General features: G+C 39.9%; 2 annotated features.

Annotated features, from left to right (window-relative positions):
* Positions 6,602 to 6,671: an enhancer, noted in NCBI's record as "active region_15903". NCBI's record gives its function as "activates an Ori minimal core promoter by ATAC-STARR-seq in GM12878 lymphoblastoid cells {active_cell/tissue: GM12878}" and the evidence as "EXISTENCE:reporter gene assay evidence [ECO:0000049][PMID:35858748]".
* Positions 7,749 to 7,808: an enhancer, noted in NCBI's record as "active region_15904". NCBI's record gives its function as "activates an Ori minimal core promoter by ATAC-STARR-seq in GM12878 lymphoblastoid cells {active_cell/tissue: GM12878}" and the evidence as "EXISTENCE:reporter gene assay evidence [ECO:0000049][PMID:35858748]".

Here is a 22,049-nt window from a genome sequence, read left to right on the forward strand (position 1 = left end):
ATCAATCCTTTTATCATTCTATTGGATATCTAAAGCTAGGTAACAAATTATTCTAAAACTTTGCAGCTTAAAATAATAAACATTTATTAAAATAACAAACACTGGTTCTGCCGATCAGAAATTCAGAAATTCAGGGGTAGCTTAGTTGGGTGGTTCTGGTCTGGGGTCTCCCATGAGGTAGCCGTTAACAGGTTGGCTGGGGCTGCAGTTATCTGAAGGCTTGACTGGGGTTGTTGGATATGCTCCCAAGATGGCTCACACACGTGGCTCTTGGTTGGAGGTCTTCGTTGCTCACTATGTGAACCTCTCTTCATCCATAGCAGCTGACCTCTCTCAGAGCAAATGACTAAGTAGAGAGCAACTAAGTTGGAAGCCACAATATCTTTTATCTCTTCTACCATATTCTATTCATGCGTCACAAAGTCCAATCAACATTCAAGAGGAGAAGAATTAGGCTCTACCTCTTAAAGAAAAGTATATCTAACAATATGAAGACATATTTTAAAATCACCACAATCATTATAAAATGTCTTCTTTATCCCTGGTAATGTTTCTTGTTTTTTTTTTTTTTTTTCTTTTTTTTTTTTTAAGACAAAGTCTCAGTCTGTCGCCCAGGCTGGAGTGCAGTGGTGCAATCTCGGCTCACTGCAGCCTCCGCCTCCTGGGTTCAAGCAATTTTCGTGCCTCAGCCTCCTGAGTAGCTAGGATTACAGGCACCCGCCACCACACCTGGCTAATTTTTGTATTTTTAGTAGAGACGGGGTTTCACCATGTTGGCCAGGCTGGTCTCAAACTCCTGACCTCAGGTGATCCACCCGCCTCGGCCTCCCAAAGTGCTGGGATTACAGGCGTGAGCCACCACGCCTGGTCAATATTTCTTGTTCTGAATCTACTTTGATATCGATATAGCCACTACAGCTTCCTTCTGATTAGTGTTTGCATGGTTTATTTTTCCTTATCCTTTTAACCTGTGCCTTTATATTTTAAGTGCAGATAACATATAATTATAGATGGCATATAGTTAGGCCCTGCTTATAGATAGCGTATATAGTTGAATCACTTTTTTCCCCACTCTGAGTCCCTTACATGGATTGTTTAAACCATTTACACTTAATGTAATTATTGATATGGATTTGCTCAAGTCTAGCATCTTGGTACTTGTTTTCTATTTGTCCCATCTGTTCTTTGTTTTAACTTTTAATTTTTATGGGTACATAGTAGGTGGATATATATATGCGGTACATGAGATATTCTGATATAGGCATACAATGTGTAATAATCACATCAGGGTAAATGGAGTATCTATCACCTCAAGGATTTATCATTTCTTTGTGTCATGAACATTTCAATTATATTCTTTTAGTTATTTTTAAATATATAATATATTGTTACCTGTTGTCCTATCAAATACTAGATCTTATTCATTCTACCTAACTATATGTTTGTACTCATTAACCATCCCCAACTCCCCCCGCCACACACACCCTCATACCTTTCCCTGCCTCTGGTAACCTTCATTCTACTTCTTACCTTTCCCTGCCTCTGGTAACCTTCATTCTACTCCTTACCTCCACCATCTGTTCTTGACTACATTTTCCTCCCTTCTTTTGAGTATTTTACTATTTCATTTTATCTTTTCCATTTATACATTAGCTATTTCTCTTTATTTCTTTATTAGTATTTACAAGATGCTTTTTTTTTTTTATTGAGACTTAGTCTTGCTCTGCTGCCAGGCTCGAGTGCAGTGTAGCAATCTCGGCTCACTTCAACCTCCGCCTCCCAGGTTCAAGCGATTCTCCTGCCTCAGCCTCTCGAGTAGCTGGGAATACAGGTGCACGCCACCATGCTCAGCTAATTTTTGTATTTTTAGTAGAGACAGGGTTTCACCATGTTGGCCAGGTTGGCCTTGAACTCCTGACCTTGTGATCCACCTGCCTTGGCCTCCCAAAGTGCTGGGATTACAGGCGTGAGCCACTGTGCCCGGCACTACGCTATGCATTTTTAATTTAACAGAATTAGGATCCCTAACCCAAAAATCTGAAATCCAAAATGCTCTGTAGTTGGAAAAGTTTTTAGCCCTGACATGATGCTCAAAAAAATTGTTCATTGGAGCATTTGGGATTTCAGATTAGGGATGCTCAATCAGTAAGCATACTGCAAACATTCCAAAGTCCAAAATCTAAAACATTTCTGGTTCCAAGCAATTTGGATAAGAGATATTCAACCTGTACTTTCAAATAATATTAGATCACTTCATATATATTGTAAAAGCCATTCTTGGTACTATATTGGTTCATACATTTACTTCTACATAGATTATAAGGCCCACAATACAATATTCTCCTGTTTGCTTTAAACAGTCAATTGTTGTTTAAAAGGATTTTTTATAAAATTTTAATGGGGAAAGAAGTCTCCTGTATTTACCCATATATTTGCCACCTCCAGTGCTCTTTATTGTTTTGTGTATTTCTAAATTCCCATCTGGGATCTCTTTTTCTTCAGCCTGAACATTTTCCCATTACATTTCTTGGTGTGCAGGTCTGCTGGCCATGTGTTCTCATAGCTTTTGATTTGAAAATGTCTTTGTTTTGTCTTCATTTTTGAAGGGTATTTTCACCTGGTATATAATTTATTTATTTTATTTATTTATTTATTATTTTGAGACAGAATCTTGCTCTGTTGCCTAGGCTGGAGTGCAGTGGCGTGATCTTGGCTCACTTCAACCTCTGCCTCCCGGGTTCAAGCAATTCTCCTGGCTCAGCCTCCCAAGTTGCTGGGATTACAGGTGCCCACCACCACGCCTGGCTAATTTTTTGTATTTTTTAGTAGAGATGAGGTTTCGCCATGTTGGCCAGGCTGGTCTTGAACCCCTGACCTCAGGTGATCCACCCACCTTGGCCTCCCAAAGTGCTGGGATTACAGGCGTGAGCCACCCTGCCCACCCGCTGATTTTGTTTTGACTAGCATTTAAGTTACTTGCAAATCAACTTGATCCCTTCCAGGCTTGTTGTTAAATTCTGTTAGGGTAGGTCTAGACGAGAGTTTCTCCACCTTGACACTACTGACATTTTGGGCCACATAATTTTTGGTTGAGGGGATGGGGGCTGTTCTGTGGACTGCATAGCATTTAGCAGCATTCCTGGCTTCTATCCAATGTATGTCTGTGGACCTCCCAGTTACGACAACAGAAATGTCTCCAGAAATTGTCAAATGTCCTCTGGGATCTCTTACAGTTCTCTGCCCAAAGCGTATTAAAAAGTTAACATAGCAGATGCAAATGCTGCCTTTTGAAAGCCCTGCTTACAAGGTTGGCCCCTAGCTAACACCTGGGAACTTGGATTTTAGGATCATTCTGAACACCCTGTTAAGAGTGGCTCACAGTGCCTAAATTATTTGTGTAAACAATATGGTTTGTGCTGAACACCTGATTTCTTTGTGAAAGTCTGGAATTTTGGTATGTGGCAGGCAGAATGTGACTACCCCTAATAAAAATCCTGGCACTGAGTCTCTAATGAGCTTTCCTGGTAGACAACATTTCACATGTGTTGTCACAACTCATTGCTAAGGAAATTAGGTGCATCCTGTGTGGCTCCACCAGAAGAGGACTCTTCGAAGCTTGTTGTGCCTGGCTTCCTCCAAACTTCATCTCATGCATCTTTTCCCTTTGTTGTTTTTTTGCTTTGTAGCCTTTCACTGTAGCAAATCTTAGCCAGGAGTACATCCTGAGCCCTGTGGGTCCTCCTAGAAAGTCATCAAACAGAGGGTGATCTGGGAACCACCAACACATCTGGCCATGGGGAGTTTAACTGTAGGCATGCATAGCTGAGTATCTGGCAACAAACTCAAGGGATCCTATGCAGATGTGTGAAGTTCTTTTTCTGCATAGCTCCCTCCTCTCTGGCACTTTGCCTCACAAGTCCCAGTCTTTTCAGCTTCACTGACCTCCAATCTCTCTCCTCCCTCAGCTCTGCTACATGGTGGATGCATAGTGCCTGCACTCAGAAACCTGTGGTGATCCCAAGACTGACTCTGTTCCCCTCTCTTAGAGATCCCTGTCTGCACTGCCTGTTGTCCAGTGTTGGAAACAGTTCTTTCATACATTGTGTCCAGTTTTCTTGTTACTTGAAATAGGAGGGAGGACCAGTGCCAGTAACTCTATCACGGTGGAAAAATAAATTCTCATTGTAATATATTTTAATTGGGATATAAACTGAGCTCATTTGAGGCATAAAGCTACTTTTTGCAATCCAGAAGCTTTCCAACTCAGAAAATAAAGTTTTATGTATCTGCAAAGGACACTAATACTGATTACCCCCTGGTGTTACTATAGTACTATTATCAATGTTTCCTCTTACTCACTTAGTCTAGCTCTTGATAATTTTTTCCTCACTTCTTACCCACATCTTTTTCAATAGGACCATTTCCTAGCACTCCATCCCACCTGCCTGTTTATCTGAATCTCATTCATCTATTTGTTCCAATGGAGATTTACTAAGTACCTACTAGGAGGTAGCCTAGTGTGGTGATTAATAGCTTGGAATTTGTTCCAGGCTGCCTGGGGTCCAAATTCTTACTAGCTTGTGGCCTTAGACAAAGTACTTAACCTTTCTATGCCTTAGTTAAATGGACGAAACAGTATCTCCCTCATAGAGTTGTTGTGAGGGTATTTGAAGGAGATACTTCCTGGTGGAGAGGAAGATCTATAGAATGCTTAATGCTAATACTAATAATAGTGCCAAGCACTATCATAAATATTGGACAAAAATGAATAAGATACAGGAATAAGATACAGCCCCTTCCCTCAAGGAGGTTACAACCCAGTACAGGACACACAACAAGAAGATTTTTTTTTTCCAAATATTTGATAAATATTCAGATAATCATTGTAAGAAAACATTTACTGTGCACTAAATAACATTCTCTGTCACTTAATCCTAGTGACACAGTTAGAGACTACTGTTATATCCAGGTTACAAATAACAAAACTGAGTACTTGAAGGTTTACACAATTACCCAAAGTCATTCAGCTGCTATATAGCTGGGATCTAAACCCAGGTAGCCTAATTCCAGAGAAATAGAGATTTACTGGCTCACCATAGCATAATGGTTAAAAGCATAAGCTCTGGAATCACAAAAGAAAACACCATTAATTCTCCCTACTAAGGCCAAGGAAGAGATAACATTTGGGTTACGCTTAAAGGAGGAATAAAATTTCACCATGCAGAAACAGGGAGAAGCAACCACAAAATGATGTAATTAAGGATGGGGAAATAAAATGGCAAAGTGTGTGTATTTAGGATACTGAGACTTTTTTTGATGAGGTTATAACATAAAATGTACTTGAGGAGAGAGGGAGAGGATGAAGCAGAAGTCAGTTGGGGTCATTTCTGGCACAGCCTTCATACGAGTGTAAATTCTATCCTGAATACTTTCCAAACCTTTTCACATCAGGGCATACAAAAATAAAACATTTGTACAGCATACTGCAGGAAATGAACCCACCTGTTTGCTGCTGGAGCCCACAGGTGACCAGCGCAGCCAGGATCTATTGCCCGCTCTCCCCTAAGGGCCGAGGGGATTGGATATGGGGTGTGAAATAGAGAGCTGGGATTCCAGTTTAGATGATTAAGGGATGGAGAGAGATGCCGTGACAGGAAATAGAGAATTTAGAAGGGTAAGCTGGGAAAACAGAACAAGTTTAATTCAGGATATGCTGTCAGGGGCCTGCAAGACAATTAGGAGAGAACTTTGTAATACCTTACCAGAGATCAGGAGAAAAATCCTACCATTATCTGACTCATCAACCCACACTTTCCAAAATCCTTGCTTTCTTACCTTAATTAATTATTACCCCAGTGTTGTGTTCAAGCCATATGTCCAATGTCTTTTGGATCCATGAAAAAGAAGATTGAATATTTTTTGGGAAATGTGTTTATAAATATGGGGAGAAAGTAGAAGGATTAGAAGGAGAGGGGGTGAAAATGACTTGCATTTTTAGAAAAGGTGACAAGTGCGGCTTTTGATATATCTTTATAAGAGCACAGCCTACAAAATGGTTCTAAAAAGTTAAGGGGAATAGTTTGTAGCCAAACAATTAAATTCACTGGGTATTAGGGAAGGTACAATGCAATTGTGCAACACTGGAATTTGACCAGGTCATTAGGGTCAAGTAGTTAAATGTAGAAGGTACTTCTGATTACCTAGAATATGAAAACGTCTGTTTTCCTATGCATTAAAGGAAAACTTCTAAATCACACTGTCTTTCATTTCTCTTGTCCCTTAATTCTGAATGTAACCAATGATACTTAAGTGGTACAACTGGAGGGGAGAAAAGATAATACTCCCAAAATACAGATGAGAAAATGTTTTAATTAGTGATTTTGAAGTAGTTAATGTGTGTTAACAACTGTGGTTCTATAAAAAGAAACCATGCGGAGAATATACCAACATTTAGTTTATGTTTTCACAAGTATATGCTGACTGTCTCATTATTAAGTACACAGAGCTCAAAAAAAACCAGTGCTACAGAGAGTGTACACTAACTGTTAAACATTGTAGAAGAGGTTGAGAGATACTGGCTAATGACTACCATAAAAGGAGTAGATGACTAAGAACAGAGAGGATGTGTGACTAAAAAGTCCCTCTATGGTTCTTTGAAAATTCCCTGAATAACTAGGCATGCCAAATGTGGTCTGTCATAAAATTATTTGATGCTAAACTCTGTAGTTAGACGACAAATATACGCTGTGTCCAAAGGAGAAAGTCTTTGTATAGACCATTTAATTGCAAAGTGCCAAGACAAATCAAGACCATTAATAAGTGAAAGTGTTAATCAAATTAAAGTGTGACCCAGAGTTCAAACACTCCTGGGCTAGATTGGGCTCACTCTACAGACTCATTCAATTTTTAGGGGGCATGACCACTGTGCAGCGGCCAGGCACTTTGGGCCACCACTGCTCCTTTCTACTCCTGAAAATGTACAGGAAGTATTGCTTCTCACAGATCCTTGAACACTGTAGAGTAATACTAGCTGGCACATCACAGCCTATCTCTAGTAAATCAACCTTTTCACCCCAAAGGCTTACTTACCACAGCTATACCAAAACTGCAGATATTAAAAAAAAAATCCCAGTACACATTTGGAAATGTATCATAATTCCCCTACACATACAACCGTCTCTGAATATGCTAATTGGAACAACCGATTTTCTTTAAAAATGTTACTTTTCCCTCAAGTAATAACTCCAAATTATTATAATAATGGTAATAGTTACTACTGTTACGTAAAAACATCATTTGATCCTTAAACTCATGAGGTAGGTTTCAGATGGGGAGACATATGCAAGGTCATATCCTTTAAGATCAGACTGGAAGCCAGGCACAGTGGTGTGCCCCTGAAATTCCAACTGCTCAGGAGGCTGAAGTACCAGGATCGCTTGAGCCCAGAGAGGCAACACAGTAAGATCCTGACAAGGTCTCGCTCTGGGTCCCCACACAAATCTCATCTTGAATTGTAATCCAAATTGTAATCCCCATGCACTGGGGGAGGGACCTCGTAGGAGGTGACTAGATGATGGAGGCAGTCCCCCCATGCTGTTCTCATGATAGCGAAGTGAGTCCTCACAAGATCTGATGGTTTTATAAGGGGTTTTTCCCACTTTGCTCGCACTTCTCCTTGCTGCCACCATGTGAAGAAGGACGAGTTTGCATCCCGTCCGCCATAATTGTAAGTTTCCTGAGGCCTCCTCAGCCATGCTGAACTGTGAGTCAATTAAGCCTCTTTCCTTTATAAATTACCCAGTCTCAGGTATGTCTTTATCAGCAGCGTTGAGAATGGACTAATACAGATCTCATCTCATATCAAAAAAACAAACAAACATCAGATTGAAACCCAAGTTTGTCTAACTTCAAAACCCATGTTTGTTTCACTACACTACATTGTTTCTTGATACTCTTCTGTTTGCTAAAATACATATTACAGACATTCATGGGAGAAAATATATTGAGTAACTAGTGACTCAAATGGGGAAACAGTTTTGAATGACTACAGGACTGTCTTGTAAAACACAGCAATGACTTTTTATGCCATGTGATTGAGGTTTTTTTTTTTTTTTTTTAGTTTTAGTTTTGGCTTTCCTAGTGTATGCCTGTTATGTATCCCTCTAGACATGTCTAGAATACTATATCAAATTTCACTAATATACAGTCCTTTAGTAAAATGTATACCCTCACCATGTGTGAATCCTGCATATTTAAGAATCCATATTCCACGTATACAATGAAAAATAAGCAAATCTTTACTCATCTTTAGAGCTTTCTTGCTTTTCTTTCTTTCTTTCTCTCTCTCTCTCTCTCTCTCTCTCTCTCCCTCTCTCTCTCTCTCTCTCTCTCTTTCTTTCTTTCTTTCTTTCTTTCGAGACGAAGTCTCTCTCATCCCCCAGGCTGGAGTGCAATGGCGTGATCTCAGCTCACTGCAACCTCTGCCTCCCGGGTTCAAGTGATTCTCCTGCCTCAGCCTCTCGAGTAGCTGGGATTACAGGCACCGGCCACCATGCCCGGTTAATTTTTATATTTTTTAGTAAAGACGGGGTTTCACTATGTCAGCCAGGCTGGTCTCGAACTCCTGATCTCAGGTGATTCTCTCACCTCGGCCTCCCAAAGTGCTGGGATTACAGGCTTGAGCCACCGCAGCCGGCCCCACAGCCTTCTTTAATTCAAGATAATTGATTGAAAAATAAAGAATGAAGCTTACTTTCCTTATTGGTATTTTAATAAATCCTTACTGGTATTTTAATAATCCCATGTACAATGAAGAACAGATTTTATAAAAAGTTTAATTTTCTGAAATGATAAATTGTAAAATGGCACTTTGTTCCCCTAAAAGAATACAGTCAAATATTAAAAATATATACCATAATCACAGGGGATATTTATTTCTCTTGTTGCATCTATTCCCCTTCTTTCACAACCTCACCATTCTTTTCTTTGAGAACCACCTCTCCCTTTTTTCTCAGTCTGGATGACTTAATTCTCGGCACCAGGGATGGGCACATGGCCTAGGCCTGGCCAGTCAGTGCATTTCATCCCCTTTGCCACAGTGGTTGGTTCACAGGTGCATACATATCCCAAGACAGGCCAATGAGATTCCACACCAAGATTTCCACACAAAATATTGGGAAGTGCCTTCTTTCTTTCTGGGATGCTAAAATGGTAAGACTATGGATTCTTGCTGTCTTTACTACCACATGGGAACAATGCATGTAAGAATGAAGACACTACAGGGGAAACCAATGAAGAAAAGTGGGAAAACAACATATTCCTGATATTATTTGAGCGGCAGCAAGTTCAGGGATGGGGAAGGTTGGTCTCACCAGCCTATCCCTGCTATGTGGCCTTACTGTGATGCAGGGCACCCAGCTCCCTTAACACCTTATTTCTAGTCTTCCTGCCAATGCTAGGAGCACCGGATACCATTTTTGTTTTTGTTTTTTTAAATAGACCACAATCAGTTTCTGTTTTTGTTTGTTTGTTTGTTTGTTTGTTTTTTGAGACGGAGTCTCGCTCCTCTTTTGCCCAGGCCGAAGTGCAGTGGCGCTATCTCGGCTCATGCAAGCTCCGCCTCCCGGATTCACGCCATTCTCCTGCCTCAGCCTCCCGAGTAGCTGGGACTACAGGCACCCGCCACCGTGCCCGGCTAATTTTTTTTGTATTTTTAGTAGAGACGGGGTTGCACCGTGTTAGCCAGATGGACTCGATCTCCTGACCTCGTGATCCGCCCGCCTTGGCCTCCGAAAGTGCTGGGATTACAAGCGTGAGCCACCGCGCCCGGCCCAGTTTCTGTTTTTACAACCAAGAACCCTGGCTACTCCAATGAGTGAACACTTTTATAATTTTAGGGTGGAGAAAGCCTGCCTAGAAAGATACATCTGACTACATAACAATCAGACGTTGGGGGACAAACTGGCAACATCATAAAATATTGTAATGTACGTTCTGCTAGACTCAGCAAGCCCATACCTACAAATGTACCCCATGGAGAAAAATGAAAAAAATGTGAGAAAATGTTAGGTTTAAATGATGTTCCCAGCAGCACAATGCCTACAAGAGTACAATGAAAAACAAGACAGATGCCTGGAAATACTGGTTTGTTGAATAAATTATTATACATTCACATTGGAATACTATGCTGCCATTTAAAAAGACAGTCTATACTGACATGGAAAGATCCCCATGACTCAAAGTAACAGAAAGCAAAACAGCATCTATAGTATGATTTTATTTATATAAAGTTATCTATCTCTCTCTCTATATATATATACCCTGGGGGAGGGTGGGGTCTAGAAGCTCATTCATTAAAATGATGCCAGTTGATTCTGGGTGGAGGGCTTGCGGGAGGGGGGTTATGCCTTTATGGTTTGAATCTCTTGCACAAACGTATCTTTATAATCACACAAAATCATAATGCAAACCACACACATGCACATACATAAAATCAGTATAATTTCCAAAGGAATTAAATTTACTCTGGAGTCGGTTAAGACATAAGAGAATTTTAATCTTTTCATATGGCAATGTAAGCCTAAAAATTTATAAAATTGACCTAATAGGAATAACTCCCCTCTCTTTTCATTCTAGAGATATAAGACCTAAGGGAAAGGCCTAGGCTAGACCAGCAACCAACTGAAGCATCCTGAGGAAATAATTTGTTTTATCTTCGGAATAAATGAACGATGCTCTTCGGAACCTTCCCCATCCCTGAACTTGCTACCGCTCAAATAATGGTATCTTGTAAATAATGCTCTTCTGAATTTGCACAAAAAGCAAAGGTATATGAGGAACTATGAGGGAACAAATGAAGGCCATAAAGACTTGTTCAGATGGTTGTTGTGTCAATTTTGACCAGTCAGAAAAACTACTTGAGAAAGCATCCAAAACGCAAGGGAATTATTTTGTCCAAAACCACCCAGTATCTCTTCTTTGCTACAAACTCAAACATACCCACTGCTTATCCCCAAATCCTCAGACATAGAATCAATTTGAAGAGTAGTAAGTAAAATACTTGGCATGTATTATCAAAGGCAAGATTGATAACAAGAAGAGGTAATGTAACACAACCTGTCAGTCTACTACACTAAATAGTACAACCAGCACATCTCAAAGTCTTGTTTCAATGGCCCATAATATTCTGAAGTATTTAAATTCTCAAGAATTCTACCTTTGAAACAGAAACCTCTCTACAGGGTAGCATAACTAGTACAATAAACCCAAGTTAATTTTGTAAATTTGCCCTACTTCTTTAAAAATTAAGATATATGAGAATTCAAGGATGTTAAACTCTAACTCAGAATTTATGTATTCAAGTACAGGCAGTCTAGCCTGGTGGTTAAGGCCCTGGCAGTGGCTGATATGAATACAAATCTTGGCGCTGCTGTATACTAGCTATGAAGTCTTTGGCAAGTGACTTAACCTCTCTATGCCTCAGTTTCTTCATCTATAAAAAAGGGGTAACAACAAGACCTGCTTCACAGAGGTGTAATAATTAAATAAGTTAATATATGTAAAACCCTTAGAATCTTTTCTGGCAAAAAAAATGCTCAATAAATATTAGCTACTGTATGATTATGAGGCATAAATTATTCTAATACTCTAATGCTATGGGATAGCCATAGAACTAACCAAACTAAATTTAACTTTTAAGACATCTATTATTCAACTCATCATGGTTCTGACTTTTTAAAAAAGTAGTGAATAATGAACTTTAATTCTTCAAGGCACTATTAAGCTCAGTGGTAACTAAATGTTATTCCTAAGTTTACACAGTACCATAGTCTCAAAGCACTAAGAAGCTTAATTTAATTATTTTCTGAACCAAAACTGTAGTAATTCTTTTTCAAATAGACAATTTCTAAATGTGAACATGTTTATCGTGGCTGCCAGCTTCATTCTGAAAAAGAAATCTTTACAAACATGACAGGTATACTTCAAAGAAGTGGTAATGGGAAGCTTATGCCAGTTATTACTAAAAATTTGAATGGGACTATTGCAAAATCCAAACATGAAAAGCTTCGTACTCAAAACTGACCTATCTTAGATGTATTGTTTTCCCCCCACACTATCAAAATGAAGCTTCTTTTTTCCCCCCACTTCACCATTACATTTTCACCATTTTTTTTTTTTTTTTTTTAGACCACGTCTCACTCTGTTGCCCAGGCTGGAATGCAGTGGTGTGATCTCAGCTCACTGCAACCTCCGTCTCCCAGGTTCAAATGATTCTCATGCCTCAGCCTTCCAAGCAGCTGGGACTACAGGTGCACACCACCACACCTGGCTAATTTTTGTATTTTTAGTAGAGACGGGGTTTTACCATGTTGGCCAGGCTGGTCTGGAACTGCTGACCTCAAGTGATCCACCTGCCTCGGCCTCCCAAAGTGCTGGGATTACAGGCATAAGCCACCGCACCTGGCCACCATCCTTTAACTTTAATGATGATTAACACATCATTAGACTTCATTTAATTGTCCCTTTTCAATAGGGATGCTCTTTTGAAATAAATGTCTCTCTCTCTCTCTCTTTGCAAAAAATCATGAGACCTAAAATCTGGTGAATTTATCATATCACATCACCAAAAGAGTCTGCCTTTAACACACAGAGCACCACAGGTTTTGGTAGAAACAATCTAAAAAGCTTTAATTAACTAAGAATCTACTACATCCCAATGTATTTACAATTTATCTTAGTCCAAAGACCATGATTTTGTGTCTTGATTGGTGTATTTGTTTTTTTCTGAGTTTTGAAAGAGACCCCCCACTTTGGGCAGGCTCAATTTTTTTAAAGTCATAAATAAGCCTCCCCGCCCACAGCTTTTTGCAGTAAAACATCTGAGCTTTGTCAGCAGCTCTTTCATCTGGCCCTTGATTTGAAAGGCAAGATAATATACTGGGCCACAGCCTAAGCTCCAGTAAAAGCCTGACCTTGTGATATAAGTTGTAGCCTAACATCAAATCACACTTATGCATCAGCATACACCATTACTACAACAATAATAATTTCTGACAGTATTGAGTGTTTTACCTGTATTAACTTACTTGGTCCTCACAACAAACAGATGAGGTAGCTACTATTTTCATGCTGACTTGATAGATGAAAAATTGGAGGAAAAGTGAGATTAAGTAACATAACCAAAGTTACACATATTGTGAGTGATGTTGACATGATTGAAACCCAGGTGGTCTGAGCCAGGGCCCATCCTCTTAATGACTATGTTATACTCTCTCAATTTTGGGCAAGTGAGAAATAAAAAATGCAGTGATGCGAGCTGCATCATCATGCATTTAATTTACTCAAATTCAATTATATGTGCTCAATTAAAAATGAAAACTGATTGTCAACTGATCATAGGATATTTAAAAAGAAAAAGAAAACTGAAAATTACAACTTAGTGTACACAATTCCTCATTTTATTCATCACATACCTACAAGCAGAGAGACGGGGAACTAATTCTTTTGTACCCTCAGTTAATTTCCGTACTTAAATATCCCTCATTAATGACCCAAGTACTTCTTCTTAATGAGAGTATTTAATTAAACTGAGCATGGCTTTGGTGTAAAGAGTCACATTTTTTCATATAACATTAGCTGTATACAAGTCAACTATTTCACCTGGTGCTCAAGTGAAGAATATTCTGCTGCTTCCAGGGAGAGCTGGCTCCCTGTGGAGATGGAAAGGCAGTCCCCACTTGCACCTTCCTAAGAGATTTATAAGAACAATTTTGACCAATGCCATTTTTGCCTTACATGCTAACTTCAAAATCTGTCTCAGGCCTTAGAAGCAACTCCACTACATGCATCAGCACTGTATGTGTTACATCATTAACAGTCGGTAATAGGGGCCACATAATTACAGAATGCAATTCATACTCTTCCAGGCCATCACTGTGGCCTTGCAGACTCTTCTTATATTCCTAAGAGCATCTCTTCAGTGCTTCCCCACTCTCCACAAGTCTCAGAAAGTTCCACAGCTCAAAAAGATCCAACTCGTAGCAGTTAACAATATTACCTCATAACATCGGGGCCATGCAGCATCAATTCTCTCCATGTACTTTACATTGACCACAAAACCCTGTATCCTTATCCAGCCCTTCCTGCTATAAATTGGAATCTAGTCTCATCACTTTACTGAAACTGCTCCCTCAAAAGCCACTGATGTCCTGCTTGCCAGATCCAATCACTCCTTGGTCTTCATCGGGGACTCTCTCTCTCTCTCTCTCTCTCTCTCCACCCCCCCCGCTCTTTCTGGCAGGGATTCTCAACCCTGGCTACGAATTACAAGTTTGTAGTACAAAAAAATCAACTCAAGATGGATTAAAGACCTATATGTAACACCTGAAACTATAAAAGCCCTGGAAGATAACTTGGGATATACCATTTTGGACATAGGAACTGGCAAAGAATTCATGATGAAAATGCCAAAAGCAATTGCAATGAAAGCAAAAGTCAATAAATGGGACCTAATTAAACTAAAGAACTCCTGCACAGCAAAATAAACTATCAACAGAGTAGAAGCAACCTACAGAATGGGAGATAATATTTGCAAATGATACATCTGACAAAGGTCTGATACCCAGAATCTACAAGGAACTTAAGGGAACGTACAAGCAAAAAAAAAACCCATTAAAAAGTGGGCAAATAACATGAACAGACACTTTTCAAAAGACATACATGTTCCAACAAGCATATGAAAAAATGCTCAATATCACTAGTCATTAGAGAAATGCAAATCAAAACCACGATGAGATATCATCTCACACCAGTCAGAATGGCTATTATAAAAAAGTAAAAACAAACGAAAAAGCAGATGCTGGTGAGGTTACAGAGAAAGGGGAATGCTTATACACTGCTGGTGGGAGTGTAAATTAGTTCAGTCATTGTGGAAAGCAGTGTGGAGATTCCTCAAAGAACTAAAAACAGAACTACCATTTGACCCAGCAATCCCACTAATGGGTATATACCCAAAGGAATATAAATCATTTTACCATAAAGACACATGCATGCGTATGCTCACTGCAGCACTATCCACAATATCAAAGAAATGAAATCAAACTAAATGCCCATGCACAGTAGACTGGATAAAGAAAATGTGCTATATATACATGATGGAATACCATGCAGCCATAAAAAAGAAATACCATGCAGTCATTAAAAAAAATGGCCTCCAGTTCCATGGAGGTCATTATCCTTAGCAAACGAACACAGGAACAGAAAACCAAATACTGCATGTTCTCACTTATAAGTGGGAACTAAATAATGAGAAGACATGGACAGAAATAGGAGAACAAGAGACACTGGGGCCTACTTGAGGGAGCAGGTTTGGAGGAGAAGAGGTTCAGAAAAAAATAAAAACCTATTGGGTACTATGCTTAGTACTGGAGTGATGAAATAACATGTATACTAAGCCCCCAAGTCACAAGTTTACCTATATTACAAACCTGCACATGTACCCCTGAACCTAAAATAAAAGTTAAAATATTTTTTAAAAAGAAGTTTGCAGTACAAAGAAAAATAGTGATGCCAGGGCCCCACCCACAGATTCCAATTTAATTGGTCTTGGATTGGCAGAGGCATGGGTATTTGCTTAAAGATCCCCAAGTGATTCCAACATGAGCCAAGGTCAAGAATCACTACTTTACAAAAGTGACCCCACTCATTAACTCACCCCTTCTACTTGAACCTTTCTCTCCTCCCAACATCCTCCCTTAAGTAGGCCCCAGTGTCTCCTGTTCTCCTCTTTCTGTTCATGTCTTCTCATTATTTAGCTCCCACTTATAAGTGAGAACATGCAGTATTTGGTTTTCTGTTCCTGTGTTAGTTTGCTAAGGATAATGACCTTATCTTGGTTGCCATGATATCATATTTGCCGGGTATTTCTATTTCTCCTGCTGTTCCCCTTCAGCTTTCTCCTACTGTTGCTCCTTATCTGGAGTTTCTTTCTCTGATTCCCTTTGCCCTGCCAATTGTTCATTTTCTATTCAACCATTAACTTAAATTTTCTAACAGTCCCAAATCTCCATATCTAATCTTAAACTCAAGCCTCAGCTCCAAACCCTCACCTCACATAGATGTTATCTCTCTGGAATTCAAATTCCATATGTCCAAAATTATCGTACTGTGTTAATTGCCTCTCTCTCCCTTTTCCACAGTAGCTATTTCAAACTTTCTGCATTTTCCTCAGACTCCTCATTCTCCTCATTCTGCTGCTTTGTTTGCAGCAGAAAACTCTGCTCCTACTTCACAGAGAAAATAGAAGCCATTAGCCTCTCTTAACTTGATCCCAACCCAATGCAGTCACCTACACATGCACTTTCTCTGCACCCAACCCATCTGGGGCTTTTGTTTTCAGCCTCACTGGAGATCAGGATCTATCAATTATTTCCCTTCTCTCTTCTGGATCCTTCCCATCAATATCTAAACATGTCGATGTCCTTCCCCATTTTCAAAAAAGAAACTCAGAAAACTGTTCAACTCCACATATTCTCCTAAATACCACCATCTTTCTTTTCTTTGCAGTGAAAATTCCTAACAAGCTGTCTCCATCCACTTTTTCCCCTTCTCAGTCTCTTTTGGAGGCCCCTCTCCCTCAGGTATTCCTCACGATGCTGTCCTCACTTGTTCGCTTATATGCTCTTCCTGTACACTCTCATCTGCTCCCATGATGTCAACTGTGAGCTATGTCCTGATGCCTCTTAAGTTTATCTCCAGCCAGATCTTTGATGACATTCAGATTTACAACGTCAAATGCCTAACTCTACTTCTCTTCTGAGATGTCTTATGGGTATTTTAAATTCAACATGTCCAAAACAGAACTCATTCTCTTCTCCATGCCTCTCCTGAAACCTGGTCCAATTTCTCTCTCACTGAAAGTCATCATCATCATCCATCCAGTCTCCCAACTCAGAAACTGGGGCACAATCCTTCTCTCCTCCTCTTTCCAAGCCCACCACATTGCAAGCACCAAGGTCTGCCCATTCCACCCCAACCACCCCAACTGCTTCATTTCAGTTCAGGCGGAGATGCTCTCTTGCTTGAATTTCACTGGAACAGAACTCCAGCTAGCCAGCGCAATCCCTCTACAAATGTGGATCTGATCATGTCACTCAGCTGCTGGGGATGAATAAGACACTTAATAAAAGTCCAAACTCTTCGGAAGAACACATACGGTGTTAGCCTTGCCTGCTCTTTAACATCCTCTCTCTCCACTGCCCCTACTCCTGCTCTCAGATCCCAGGAATTTCTTGGTCCAAGAGATGCACCACATATGCTCTCTCACCCGAAGGCCTTTGCAATATTCTTTTTGTCCTCTCCAATTTACTCAACTGTCCCTCCTGTTCGCTCTGATTTTATTTTATTATTTTGTTTTATTTTACTTTATTTTATTTAATTTTTTTGAGACGGAGTTTTGCTCTTGTTGCCTAGGTTGGATTGCAATGCCACGATCTCGGCTCACTGCAACCTCCACCTCCCAGGTTCAAGCAATTCTCCTGCCTCAGCCTCCTGAGTAGCTGGGATTACAGGCATGCGCCACCACACCTGGCTAATTTTGTATTTTTAGTAGAGATGGGTTTTCACCATGTTGGTCAGGCTGGTCTCGAACTCCTGACCTCAGGTAACCCACCTGCCTCGGCCTCCCAAAGTGCTGGGATTATAAGCGTGAGCCACGGCACCCAGCCTCCCTCTGATTTTAAATGCTGTATTTATCATATGTTAAATTTGGTTCTTTCTAGAGCAGGGTTTATAAGAAGAAAAAGAGAAAAAAAAAGAAAAAAATTTCGTTCTAAGTCCTTTTTTTTTTCCTGGATTCTATTCTGTTTCAGTGATCTGTTTGTCTCTTCTTGTGCTAATGCCATAATGTTTAAATTTAAGATATACTTTTATACCTGGTAGGACTATTCCTCTCAATCTTCTTCATTCAAATTATGAGGAACCTCAGACTAAGTTTATCAAATTAAAATTCCACTGGGACTTTTGGTTGGAATTACACTGAATCTACAGATCCCTTCAGGGAAAACTAACATTTTCTCTTCTAGGAATATGTTTCTCCATGAATTTAATTCTTCAATAAATATTTTTTGCAATATGTGTCTTACAGAATTATTAATTTTTTTCTTGGGTATTTTATAATTTTAATTGCTATGGTGATTGGAGTTTTATTTCTTTAAATTCATCACTGGTGACGTACCGGAGAGGTGTTGACTTCTGTATAGTTACTTTGTATCTGGCCACCTTACTGTTTTATCAGTACTCCAGGAGACTGAAAGAGTATTTGGTTCCACAGGAAAGAAGAAGACAACAGTTGAAGCAGGTTTGTAGGCAAAATAATGAAGTCCATTTAAGAAAGACTGGGTTAAAATGACAATATTATATTTAGCTGAAGATGTCATGAAAGTATACAGAAATAGAGAACTGAAGCAGAGGGGAGAGGTGTGGGCTGGACAAGATGTAGGAGTCACACGCATACAGGTAAGAGGTGAAAATACTCCTTAAGGCAATGTCATGCCAGGATTAATGAAGAAAAAATGTTTCTCTATTCTAAAATCTTCTATTAAAAATAGAGGCCAGGCGCAGTGGCTCACACCTGTAATCCCAGCACTTTGAGAAGTTGAGGCAGGAGGATCACCTAAGGTTAGGAGTTTGAGACCAGCCTGGCCAACATGGCAAAACCCCTTCTCTGCTAAAAATATAAAACTTAGCCAGGCATGGTGGCGGGAGCCTGTAATCCCAGCTACCCAGGAGGCTGAGGCAGGAGACTCGCTTGAACCTGGTAGATGGAGCTTGCAGTGGGCCAACATCACGCCACTGCATTCTGGCCTGGGACACACAGCGATATTCTGTCTCAAAAATTAAAATAAAAAAAAAAGACAGAAAATACATTTTTATATTGTGTGGTGGTTTCATATTACAGTTATGGAGTACAGACATGTAAAGTGTACTTTTCCAAAAGAATTTCAGGAGACCAAGGGTGGGGTCTCCTGACTTTAGATATGACTACTACATTACTACCATGGGATTCATGTGAAAAAAAGATTCTGACGATCAAACGTAAAGGCAGGAAACGGGTGGAGGGAAGAGGAAATGCTGAACTACAAGGTCATGGTCAGGAAACCAATTTGGCAAGGTATGTGGAAAACCAAGGCATATAGAATCAAATACCACATACAGTAGTGCGCAGCCCAAAGCCAGCTTTGTTTTCAGTAGCAGGACTCAAATGGCAGAGTGAAGGCCAGCGCCTGCCGTTGACAGTGGGAACCTCCTCAAAATTCCCTGTTGAGCTAATTTTCTTTTAGTCACTCTTACTGCTAAGACAGGCTTTTTAATGGATCCCAGACAAAAAGCTGTCTAGGTCCTAAGAAACGCATTAGTAATAAATGCCTATTGTTGGTAGCTAGCAATGTATACAAAATCTCCTTTTCATTCATTTCCATTATTTGTTAAATAAGTCAAAGAACAATATTTGTAAATCACAAAATAAAAGAAAATTAAGATATAGTATGTACAGTTAGATCCTAATTTTATGAAAGGTGTGTGTGTTCATTGAAAAAACAAGAAGGACATTTATCAAAATGTTAAAAGTGAGTATCAGTAAGGAGTAAAATGCAGGAGTTTTGATTTTTTAATGTATTCTTTTCTGCATTTTTACATAGTTTTCCACAATGAATATATATTGATGTGGTACTAAGGAAAAATACAAGTGTTATAAAAAACATAAATCAAAATTGTAATATCAAAGGAAAATAATCGCAACTGTAATGCAGAATTTTAGACGACTCAGGAAGATAGGAATCCTGATTAAATCTCCAAATTTTCAGAATATGAGTAATAAAATACAGGAAGATGTACACCTAAATTTCTCCTTTGGAGAAAGCCGGAATAAAACAGTCTTTTAAGGACTAAGTGTGAAATCCACAAAAGTAAGGGTAACAGCATGAAAAGGGAAGGTAACTGACACTCTCATGATGCAGAGAGAATAAAGAAGAGGTCGGAGAAGACAAGTAGCTCAGAAACGACCCCTTAAAAACAGCATACTTTTTGGGAAATGAATCCAGCATCTCTCTCAAATGATAAGGTCTACAGAGTTAACAGTGTCTTCTCCATATGAAGTGATTGCTAGGTGCTATAGGGGATATAAAGAATTACTCACAGCCTTATGGGAGCTAGTGTTAATAGGGGTGGAAGTAGGGAAAGAAAGTAAGTCAATAGTAATGCATTATAATAATGAGAAGTAGCACAGCATGGCAGGTAAGAGTGGGCTCTAGAGTCTGAAGCTTTTCAGCTGCGTGACCTCGAGCAAGTCACTTAACTTCTCTGTCTTAGATTCTTCACCTGTAAAATAATAGCAGTATTACCTCATAGGGTTGAAGGGAAGGGCTGGTGAAAACATGAAGAGCTTAGGACAGTCCCTGGCATATATTAAAACACTTGCTGGCTGGGCTCAGTGGCTCACGCCTGTAATCCCAGCACTTTGTGAGGCCGAGGAGGGTGGATCACCTGAGGTCAGGAGTTCGAGACCAGCCTGACTAACATGGTGAAACCCCATCTCTACTAAATACAAAAAAATTAGCTGGACATGGTGGCACATGCCTGTAATCTGAGCTACTTGGGAGGCTGAGACAGGAGAATTGCTTGTACCTGGGAGGCGGAGGTTGCAGTGAGCGGAGATTGCGCCATTACCCTCCAGCCTGGGCAACAAGAGTGAAAACTCTGTCTCAAAAAACAAACAAACAAAAAAAAAAACTACATTTGCTATGATTTTGTGCCTACTATGTAGTGATGTGCTAATATTTTCTTTCTTTCTTTTTTGTTTTTTTGAGACAGGGTCTGCTGGAGTGCAGTGATGCAATCTCGGCTCACTGCAATCCCTGCCTCCCGGGCTCAAGTGATTCCCCCACCTCAGCTTCCAAAGTAGCTGGGACCACAGGTGTGTGCCACCGTGCCTGGCTAATTTTTTGTATTTTTTTTATAGAGAAGCAAGGTTTTGCCATATTGCCCAGGCCGGTCTTGAACTCCTGAGCTCAAGCGATCTGCTGCCTTGGCCTCCCAAAGTGCTGGGATTACAAGCGTCAGCCACCATGCCCAGCCAATGTTTTCTATCTTATATCAAATAAGGTAGGCATTATTCATCCTGTTCATAGACGAGGAAACTGAGAATCAGAGAATTAGGCAATTTTGGGTAAGATCTAGAGAGCGGGGGAACAGAGTTGTGATTTGAGCCCCCATCTGCCTGAACACGAAGCTTGTGACTTTTATTACTACTATTACTGTGAAACAATAGCACCTAACATTTGTCTAGTGCTCACTCTATACCAATTATTATTGTACATATAATTGCAATTTTTCTCACAAGATATCATTTGACCCCATTTTACAGAAAGCAGCAGCCTATGCTTCGAGAGGCCTGCACCCACGCTGGAAATCACTGAGTTGTAAGTAAGTGGTAAAGGCAAGATAGGAGTCTACATCTGCTTGTTCCTAGTGCCAGAGCTCACCACCCCTGGCTAGTGGTGCTTCAGCTGTGGAGCTTTAAAAAACAAGAGATTCCAGAGGGTCCTACACCTAGAGGTTTCTGAGCAGGTGGCTCTGGGCCAGGGGCCTTGGCCACCCACTTTATCTCCTTGCCAGTGGTTCTCATGAGACTGCAAAAATATGTTGTGTTGTAGGTGTTAAATGCCAAGGTGAAAAGCTTCTGCTCAATTCATCTAGAAATGGGGAGTCAATTAAGGTTTTTCAGTGAGGTTTTTCAATAACCAGTGTTTTAGAAAAATTAATCTAGGAGTAATGAATAGGATGGACTAGAGGGGAAAGAAAAGTGTGGCAAAGACCGACTGGTTAGGAAGCTATTCTAGGCCACAAAGTTTCTTTTAGTCTTAATAAACCCATGTATCAGACAACAGAAAAATGAATCCTTGGGAAAGACCCATCTAAACATAGAAAGATTTGCAGCTTGGAGAAAAATGTACTTCAGTATTCCAGATCTATATACACTGGCTGAAGTAAAAATC

Source organism: Homo sapiens, chromosome 2, assembly GCF_000001405.40.
Source record: "Homo sapiens chromosome 2, GRCh38.p14 Primary Assembly".
In the NCBI taxonomy this organism is placed as follows: Eukaryota; Metazoa; Chordata; class Mammalia; order Primates; family Hominidae; genus Homo; species Homo sapiens.